Source organism: Homo sapiens, chromosome 4 (assembly GCF_000001405.40).
Source record: "Homo sapiens chromosome 4, GRCh38.p14 Primary Assembly".
NCBI classification, from domain to species: Eukaryota; Metazoa; Chordata; class Mammalia; order Primates; family Hominidae; genus Homo; species Homo sapiens.
Window position 1 is genome coordinate 154,523,492 of NC_000004.12, and position 10,783 is coordinate 154,534,274.

The window sequence follows — 10,783 nt, forward strand, 5'->3', positions numbered from 1 at the left end:
GAGCAGAATCCAGGTTGGAGTTGGAACCCTGGAGATGCCGAAGGAAACCCGTCTTCCCTACCGCCCCCTAACGCACCGGCCTGCTTGGAACGCAGTTGGAGGCTGCGCGGTACCAGTCCCATGGGGGCTTCTGCTCCGGGTCCTCCAGTCTCAGTGGTCGCTGCTGAGCCGGCTCCCTCTGACTTTTTTTTTTAGACGGAGTCTCGCTCTGTCGTCCATGCTGCAGTGCAGTGGCGCGATCTCGGCTCACTGCAAGCTCCGCCTCCGGGGTTCACGCCATTCTCCTGCCTCAGCCTCCCGAGTAGCTGGGACTACAGGCGCCTGCCACCACCTGGCTAATTTTTTGTGTGTGTTTTTAATAGAGACGGGGTTTCACCGTGTTAGCCAGGATGGTGTCGACCTCCTGACCTTGTGATCCGCCCGTCTCGGCCTCCCAAAGTGCTGGGATTATAGGCGTGAGCCACCGCGCCCGGTCCCCTCTGCCTTTTTAAGGACCCCTGTGCCACCCCCAAAGAAGGCTTCTGCTCTGCTGGAGCCCAGATGGAGGCTGGAGTGGCTGACCTCACTTGTGGGGAGGAGAGAGGTATCACAGCGGCTTCTGATTCAAGTGCTGGTGAATTGTGGGAGGTGGATGAGAACGAGCCACTTACCGTCAGCAAGTTCTGCAAGTATGAGCATGGAGACACTGTGTCTACCCTCAGTGTTCTCGGCTGTCAGCGGCAGCAAAGACTTCAGCATCAAGGATTGGGACCTTGCTCTGCAGGTGGCACTGAATTCATACCGATCTCATGCTGGGCAGGTCACCTGTGCTGCTGCCTCTCCCCGCAAGGACTCTGTGTTTCTTTCCTGCAGTGAGAACAGTAGAATTTTATTCTGGGATACTCTCTGACCAAGCCGACGTCACAGGTGGGCTGCAGTGCCTCTGGCTGCCTTCCCACCTCACTGGCTTGGCATCCTCAGCAAAGTGAAGTCTTCATCTTTGTGATGGGAATGGGACAGTCTCCCTTGTGGACACCAAGAGAGGGAGAGGTGCCCTTGGCTCAGCTGTACAAGACCAATGTGTCATTGGGCTGGTGTTTTCCTCACACCGTGTTCCCTTCCCGGCCTCTTACAGCGAAGATGGCTCACTGGCTGTGCTGGACTCCAGCCTTTCTGAGGTGTTTAGAAGCCGAGGCCACTGTGACCTTGCGAGAGATGCTGCTTGATCCCCCCTCAATCACTTTCTGCTTACCACAATGGGCTGGGACCATCAGGTCGTCTGCCACAAGTGCCCACAGAACCTCTCCCAGCCCCTGGACCTGAAAGCGTTGCTGAGTAGATTGGACTTAAGACAAACAGCAAGTCCCCCATGAGAGTCCACTTCTTTGCCCCTGTTCCCTCAGCTTGTGAGATAACACAGGAGCCTTCTGTAGTATGTTGAAACATTAGATCTGTGCCATTAATTGGCATCGTCTCGCAGCCTGAAGGAGGCTGGATGCTGGGATCCTGTAGTCACAGGAAAGAAAAGCTTTCTTAAAAATGGGCATGCAGGTTCGTCTTGAGTGTGTGTGTGTAGGTTTTGGTAGGGAGGTGGGACGGTGGGGGAGGGATTTAAAAAAAATCTATCCCACATCTCCCCTGAACACCATCTCTCCCTCACTCCCCAAAAAAGTTGACAAAAGGGTTTTATTCTTCCCATGTAGCTGTCTGAGGAATTGACCATATCTGGGTGGGGTATGGAATGTGGGCATCCCTAGGTTCCTGGAAGCAGCTCTTATGCTACTCATAGAGATGGGACTGATTTTATTTTTTATAGCGCTTAATTCACCGTTATGGGAAATGCTTCCAATCACAAAAATTCAGCCCAGCTCGTTTTGAGGAAGAGGCAGGACATGTTATAGTTTTATACAACTCATTTCCATTAAACTGAATCAGAAGTCCTTTTTCTGGATGAATTAAAAATGTGGCCTGTGCCTGTGTAATGTCCACTCCTTTCTGCCAACTCCCTTCCCTCTGCTCCCTGCTGGTGTTGTGTATATGAAAGAGGAGTGTTTTTCTGTCATAGATGCCCTAGAGGAAATTTTGTGGATGTTGGAGAGCTTAAAGGCATTTCAATTGTTAGAAAACTGACACAGACTGTTACAGAGGAATCTTTGCCACTTTTCCCACCCAAAACCAGCCTGGGGCCTGACCTCTTCTGCTCTCAGCCCCTTTCTCTGCATATAGAAAGTCTAAATGCAGTATGTGTAGACTTTTAAAGTTTTAAAATTCAGCCTCAGGAAGAAAATCAGAAATACTGGCTGGTGAAATAAACAGTTTAGGCATCTTGTAAGCCTGCCTTTTTTGAAAAACAACAAAACAAAGTAAGTGTTGGTGAGGATGTGGAAAAATTGGAACCCTTGTGCACTGTTGATGGGAATCAAAAATGGTGCAGTCATTATGGAAAACAATATGACAATTCCTCAAAAAATGAAAAATACAATTACCATGTGATCCGGCAATTCAATTTCTGGATACACATCCAAAAAAATGAAAGTAAGATCTCAAAGAGATATTTGTATACCCATGTTTAGAGCAGCATTATTCACAACGGTCAAAAGGTGGCAGCTCCCCGAGTGTCCATTGACACATGAGTGGATGAATAAAAAGGTGGTATATACATAAAATGGAATATTATTCAGCCTTAAAAGGAAAGGAAATTCTGACATGGGCTACAACATGGATGAACCTTGAGGACACCATGCTGAGTGAAATAGGCTAGCTGTAAAAAGATAAATGCAATTCCACTCATATGAGGAACCTAGAGTAATCAAATTCATAAAGACAGAAAGTAAACAGGTGGTTTCCTGGAGCTGCGAGGAAAGGGGAACGGGGGTTTATTGTTTAATTGGTGCAGAGTTTCAGTTTTGCAGATGAAAAGCATTCTCAGGATTGATTGCACAACAATGCAAATGTACACAGCACTACTGATGTGTATAATTAAAAATGGTTATGATAAATTCTATGTGTATTTCACCACAATTTAAAAAAAAATACATGAAAATTCTTTGGAAAGTATAAGATATTACAGACAAGAGGCCTCAATTATTGAAAAAAAAGATGAAACACTGTCCTGAATTTCCCAAGGGGAACAAAATCTTGAGCATGTCACCTTTGAAAGCATCATCCTGATCCATGTGTACTAAACCAAGTCTAGTGTGATATAAAGTTCCATAGGCTGCATGTGGCATTATGTGCTACCCTTCAAAATTGATTTCAATCCAAGAAAGAGAACAAATCTCGATTCCCAAGTCTTTCCACAACTTGCTTGCTTTTCAAACATAAATCATACATATTAAATCTAACCATTGTCTATAAAAAGCCAACCACACATTTAAAATGTGTTACTGGTAATAGAGCAGCTTGAGGAGGAAGAGGATGAGGGAACTGAAGGCAAGGGGAGGGAGGTCTGTGGAGAGGGTGGGGTGGAACCTGCCAGGCTCTGGGAAGATCAAGGACATTGACAAAAAAGAACAGATTTATCATCACAGAAAAGATGAGGGTAAAAAAACAACAAACAAACAAAACAGGTTACAGGACAGGACATAAGGGCAGACCAACCGTTTAAGGAAAATAAGTCTCATTAGAGGGTTAGAAGCATTAAAAAACTTTTTTCACTTTGTCCTCTGAGGAGAATATTTCTGAAATTTCTGCTTATGGTTATATAAAATCGGGCTGAGGATTTTTTAAAACGTAAAGTTGGTAGCAGACTTTGGATATTTTCATCTATATTTGTTTTTCTGCCTTTAATAAAATAGTGTGTATGTTTCATTTCAGAAGCTATCAAAGACCACATTTTGATTGGTCCACACAATCAAACCAGAAGAATGTTCCAGTTTATTGAATTTGTCTCCTTATTTAAGAAAAAGAAAATTAAGCCAGGAGAAGTTAGCGCTCCATCCACCAGCTGGGTCTTTGATGAAGGGAAGTGAAATGAGGATTCTGCACAGGTGGGCGGTAGCTGGTGGAGTGAGCGCCCTGCAGGTGCAAGTCATGACAACAAATGGGGAGGGATGCTGTGAAGACATTGCCCCATTGTGTTAGGAGAATTCCCAGACACCCCATTCCACTCCTCCAGCTCTCTCCAGGATGGAAGAATGGGGAACTATGAGGCGTATGCACCATCCAGGAAGAATCCTAAGTCACATTTACCCTGAAAAGCATGCTTCTGTCCATGAATGTCTTCCACCCTGTGGCTGGGGCTTGGGGGCGGGTAGGGAACAGTGTGGCTGGTGATATTTATGCTTTTCTTCATTTACCAAATATCTTGTAAATGGAACTCTTTCTTTTTTATAAGTCAGTGTTAATGAGTGTAGACCTCAGAGATTTAAAATGAACTATCTGCAAATCTGTGACATTACACTAGAATAAATGTTTTATTACCCCCTCAAATCCAAGTCTCTCTTAAAAGATGTTGAACAGAAAGTACTTAAAGGAATATCTTACATTTTTCATCCATAGTTCAAGTTAAATGATAGGGTAATACTAACACATTAGCTGTCCTTTATACATATTAATCAATAATGCAGTTTTATTATCAATAATTGATTTAAGTCTCAGTAGTGGACAATTTTAAAACAGTCTAAATGTGAAAGTTCAGCATTCTAATCGTTCACAGACAAGCAAGTTAGTGTGAATATATGACACTATGTAAATGACAATATATACATCCAAGTTTAAGTTTACAGTCCAATATAAGGTTACAATTATGTCAAGTCTTAGAAGAATTTTTTTCATAGATACGGACTTCTAACCTATGTATATCACTCTTCTGTTACTATACTTGATAAAATACATTTTGCTAGCTAGAATAGACTTATACTTAGAAAGTTCCATTTACAGTTACACAATTTAATAAAGTTTGATTAAATGAACTGGCAAAATCTGTAATGTTACAAAGTAATAAAATGTAAAACTAAAACTATGGCACATCTGAAAATCAAGAATGACTTGTTTGGCCCACATTACAATTCCTGTATACTAGAATAATAATATATGTTATGTCATAATTTTTCATAAATGATTTTTCAAAATTCAGCAATAATTTTAAATAAATGTGTGCATATATATACGTTTTGCATATAGTTACACAGGTTTCCCAACTGAAATAACTAAGAGAAATAAAAACAGAGAAAAACCTGCCTCTGTGCTGGAAGGAGGGAAGGGTGACCTGTCAATAAGTGTTTGTTGAATGAGTGAATGAATCATGCAAAATTCTAATATCTTATTAAAATAGGAGATAACCTGCCATAGCTAGGACCCAGAAATAAAGAAAACAGAGTTACTTTCATTGTATCTGGGGATCATCCCTTAGCTATTTCTCTCAGTATTTTGAACCTATGTTAATAATGGATATCAAATTTTTCAAACACCAGCAGAGGACAAGGAAGAGCTAACATTCTGACCCCAGTGAAAGTGGACTCTGGTACTTTCATTTAGTCACAGGCTCGCTCAGGGAGTCTTGTTTCTTATTCCTCACTAATAGTCCCAGTCATACAAGCACTTGAGATTATTTTGGCTCCATCCTACTTCCCTGTAGCTACTATGGCCTCCCACTCTCTCATGGACATTCATCGTATTTTGCTCTTGCAACATTCCCTCTCTTGGCCACACTCCAATGCAAATGATTTACTGTAATATGTCTCCACCTTCACACCTTGTGAGAATGAAATGAAAAATCCTACAATTAATTCCTAAGGAAAACAGTACCTTCTAATGCCACCAAAGGTATTGGAAGCAATTATTATTAATTAATAATATAATTATTATTAATTGCAATTGTCGTTGCAAACAGCTTCCAAGAGGGTGGTAGACAGCCAAGACTTTTTATTCAAATAGCTGTTTTCATTCATAAAGCAATCTACTAAATGATAATGTCATGCTTTTTGGCAACATCCGTATTTATGGGTTCTCCTTTTAAGAATTTTCTCTTACATTTGGCATGCTCAGTACAGGACAATACTTCTTAGGAAGTTTGATGGATATTTTTCTTTTGTACTTTTTTAATCAACAGAAACTACACTGATTTTGATTTGCTTAAACAAAAATTTTTTTTCATATTAACAGTCATTTTACCATAGTGTTAGAAGACACCATGGTGGAGGTACTTGCAGTGAGATAACATCCTGCATATTAATCCTTGTGTTTTTCTCTCCTCCACTTCCTGACTCTTCCCTTCATCAGCTGGAGGCAATCACGTTGCCTGGGAGAGAATTAAGATTGTTAAAGCAGGAATTTAAGGAGAAAGGAACTATTTTAATATTATTTTTGAAGTAGAAACTAGGGTTTTAAGATTCAAAAAGAGAAGCTCCAAGGAGACCAGAGCAGAGAGTTTATAACCTCTTCAAAAAGAAAGAGTCAGCCAAGAGTCAGCTCCACCCCTTGGAAACATCAAGAAGCCCAGCCAACACCTACAGACCATCCCTTGCCATTCCTGTGAGCTCATCATCATGCCCCTGGCAGAAAAGCTACAAGTTTCTTCTTGTGACTTTCCTATGAATGCCTTCCTCGCGTTGTTGCCTATACATGGACCGTTGCTCATTCAACAAAAGCCAACTTCTCACCATTCCTTCGCCTTCTCTCCTGCCCTGAGACTTTGATGAGCTCCCATCTGAATTGCCATGGATATGTACCCACTTCTGGAGGCACTCAAAAGCAAGTCCCCTGGATCTGTTAAAAAACAATGTGGCTGCCTATAAAATATAAAAGTCAAAACAACAGTAGCTTAAGGAAGATAGAAGTTTATTTCTCTATGATGTAATTGATATCTAAAGATGAGCAGTCTAGACTTGGAATAGCAGCACTGTATTCATAATGACCTCAGGCTGCTTCTGTATCCCTGCTACATTATCCTAATGCTGGCTTCCATTTTCAGGATCACCTCTTGTCCTAAGATGGTGGGACAAGCTGTCACATTTATATGCTCCAGCTATCACATTTGCTTTCCTGACAGGAGAAAGGGTGAATGCCCACATCTCCCAGCTGAGTCAACAACTTTAAACAAACTTTCTGAAAGTCCCACACAACATTTCTGATTAAATCTCACTGGCTAGGACTTGCCTTCATAGCCACACATAACTGAATAAAAGTCTGAGAAATGTAGCATTTTATGTGGATGCATCCCCTACACCTTCCCCACTGACCCCTGCCAAAAAATAAAAATAAAATAAAATAAAGTGAAAGAGGAGAATGCTTATTGGAAATTAACTCACCCTACCATATGCCCCTTTCCTAAAAAAAAAAAAAAAAAAAAAAAAACAAAAACAGAGCTGGGTCTTTGAAGAGAGTTGATGTGGAATTAATTCACAGGTACATATCTGGGGGAGGACTGGGTAGTGGGGAAAAATAATCCTTGTTTCATGAGAAATATATAGATAAATAACCAAGTAATTAAGGTTCCATTAAGATTTTTAAATGGCAATTAACAAAGCCAAATATTTCAAGTGTGTTATATATAATACAATTATCTATGTTACATATAAAGATGAAGATGATTATATAAAATATAAATTATATTAAAAATAAACATACAGTAAATTATGCATAATATATAGATATGCCATCCAAGGCATTTATGTTATTTTCTCCTTGAATGATCAACATGACATTCACCAGAAACTGGATATGTCTAGAGACATCTTGATTTGCACCTAAAACATGAAGAGCCGCTTTACCAAAGGCCTTGGGAGAGACAGGTGTCCTAGAGTCTAGAACTAATTCAGCAGCTCAGGATAGAAAGGAGAGCAAAGAACCTGTGACACCATAAAAAACTTCAGCAGCAGTAACCAACCATGATGGCAATTAACATAACCAGCAAAATAATAGCTAATATTCGTAGAGTGTTTACTATTTGGTAGGCCCTGCAATGACTTTACTCTTTAATAGGCACAACAACTCGATGAGACTAGAACTATTATCACTCGTTTTCACCAGTGAGAAAACTGAGGAACAGAAAAATGCAGTCACTGAAGTCACTTGTAGACAAGCGCATTGCACAATTAATCAGCGTCAGAGCCAAGAATAAAACCAGGGTTTTATTCTGCTCTGAACTATACCTTCTCCTCTTCCAGAAGTGCAGACATCTGATCAGAAGAAAAGATCACATGATATCACAGAATCATCAGGATGGTGCTGAAGATGAACAAACTGAAATGTCTGAAAGTTTTTAAGAAATTCATAGGCTGTCTTTTAAGTATGATGTTAGAGACGCCAACCAAATATTGCTCTTCTCAGGGGTGGGTCATTTCAATTTCATTTTCAGAAATTTCCAGTTGATACTTATCACCACAAATGAAAGCTATAAAGAAAGACTACTTGAAATGCATGTCAGTCCTTTTCTTTAATAAATTTGGTTTATGGTGAAGCCACAAGACAAAATATGTTTATCCCCAGGAGGTATAAACAACTCAGTGCAGGTTATAGGAATCTCAGTTTTGTATCCAAACAGGTGAAACATTTTTACCACTGACCTTCAGACCATCCTCACTTATCTGAATTTCTGAATTTCAGACAGAAATTAAGCAAGGATGTAATGCATACTCTATTTACTTATATTATTTATATATTTCAGAGCTAAATTTTTTAGAAATGCAAACACTATCTTTGTTTGTGAGACAGGGTCTCACTCTGTTGTTGACTGCACTGGAGTGCAGTGGTTCCATCAGGGCTCACTGAAGCCTCGACCTCCCAGGCTCCAGTGATCCTCCCACCTCAGCCTCTCAAGTAGCTGGGACTACAGGCTTGTGCTAACATGCTTAGCTAATTTTTTAAAAAATAAATTGTAGAGACTGGGTCTCACTATGTTGCCCAGTCTGGTCTTGAACTCCTGGGGCCAAGCAATCCTCCTGCCTTGGTCTCCCAAATTGTGGGGATTACAGGCGCAAGCCATCATGCCCAGCTGACACTATCTTTTAACCATAAGCTACTTAAAAAAAAGAGCAGTAGAGGGTACAGTTTGTTCAAAGAAGAAAATTTTACTTTTTGAAAAATTGAACAGTACAAATGCTGTGAGATTGTAACCCGCACTTTCTAAATTCAGCTTAATCACATCATAGTATCTTCCAAATCTATGAGTTTGCTGTTAAATATTAATTACATTTTAAATTCATAAATGTACAAATTAACCTTGTTAAAATTACTTCTGAAATCCCATTGTTTAATAATTCATTCAATAATATGCTTTTGTTACAAAAGTTTAAAAATTCAAATCAGATCACTGAAGGTGATTCTTCCAATTTCCTAATTATTAAAATTTCTGACTTCAGTTATCTAACAAAACAATACCAGCCAACACATTGGTGATAAAATAGACCTGTTATTTTGCAGCTTACATTCTATTGGGTGAAACAAACAATAAAAAATAATAATCGAGAAAAATAGAGCAGAAATAGGCGATAGCTAGGGTGTACTATGTGATTTAGATAGGAGGGTCACAATTTTAAATCAAGCGGAAAGCACACCCATTCCCCCCATTCTAAGGCAGAGTAGTCCAATAAACTTCAGTTTTTACAAAATTAAACTATAATTTATGACTCTTAGGTATCAATATTTCTATTTGATATGTTAATTAGCTAACAAATTATTCTCAAGGAAAGAAAGACAGAAATTCTCCATGAGAATTCTGATTTTCAGCTTTGTAAATTCTCCTAAAGAAGTTTCAGGAGAAACTTCCTCTGACCAAGTTAAGAAAGAAGAGCCGTATTTAATCAAAGTATCTATCTACTGCTGTGTTAATAAGTTTCTTAACCAAGAATAAATTTCAAATTACATGGAGAATCGCTGGAACCCAGGAAGCAGAGGGTACAGTGAGTCACGATTGTGCCACTGCATTCCAGCCTGGGCAACAGAGCAAGACTCTGTCTCAAAAAAAAAAAAAAAAAAAAAAAAATATATATATATATATATATATATACACACACACACACATATGCTTTTTTCTATGTATAGAAACCCTTCTTTGGCATCTATGAAGATGCTCATATTTTCTACCTTATCTAAATCAATATAGCTAATTATCAATATAGCTAATTAACTTAATTAGCTATATTAATAGTAAACCATCCTTGCATTCTTAGAATAATCTCCACTTGGGTATGTGGCTTGATTCTTTTATTAAACTTTCCTAATAATATTTGCATCCATAAGTGAGATGAAATCACAATTTATTTGTTCTTTATTGGATTTAGGTGTCTTTGTTATAGTAACATTTAAAAACACACAAAAGATTTCCTTGTTTATCAAGGTCCTAGGAAAAATTTCAAGTGCATTTAAATTATGTTAGGATTCAATTCTGAAGTTCTTCAGGTTTAGTGATGTATGTGTTAGTGGTGGTAGAGGTGGCTGTCTTTGACAACTTCATTTTTTTATGGCAATTAATTTGTTTATGTTTTCTGTATCCTTTTGAAATAGCCATAGGCTATTTTTTTCTTTAATCATTTTGTTTGGCAAATGGCATGGAATTGGACAGAGCTCTTTTAGTTATTACTTCCCTCCTCCCTTTGTTTCTATTATTTATATTTCTGTTTAATTGGCTTATCTAGTTTTATCTATTTTTGTACCAAAAAAATCAGTATTTATTATTTTTCCTTATTAACTTACCAATTCCTTTTTTCAAAAGAAAAATGTTTAACACATTTTCATTATTTTTTTTTTTTGCAATTGGTTGAAAAAATGTAAAGTGAGGAAATAGAAATAAGTTTATCAAAAACTCTAAGAGTTTGGCTGTAAGAGTAGAGAAATGGGTGTATTCCTAGAGGGAAACAATAGG

The 10,783-nt window shown here is 38.8% G+C and overlaps 1 pseudogene; it reads left to right on the forward strand.

Moving 5' to 3' along the window:
• On the forward strand, positions 470 to 1,515 carry WDR77P1 (WDR77 pseudogene 1; annotated as a pseudogene).
• Positions 1,516 to 10,783: the final 9,268 nt, after the last annotated feature.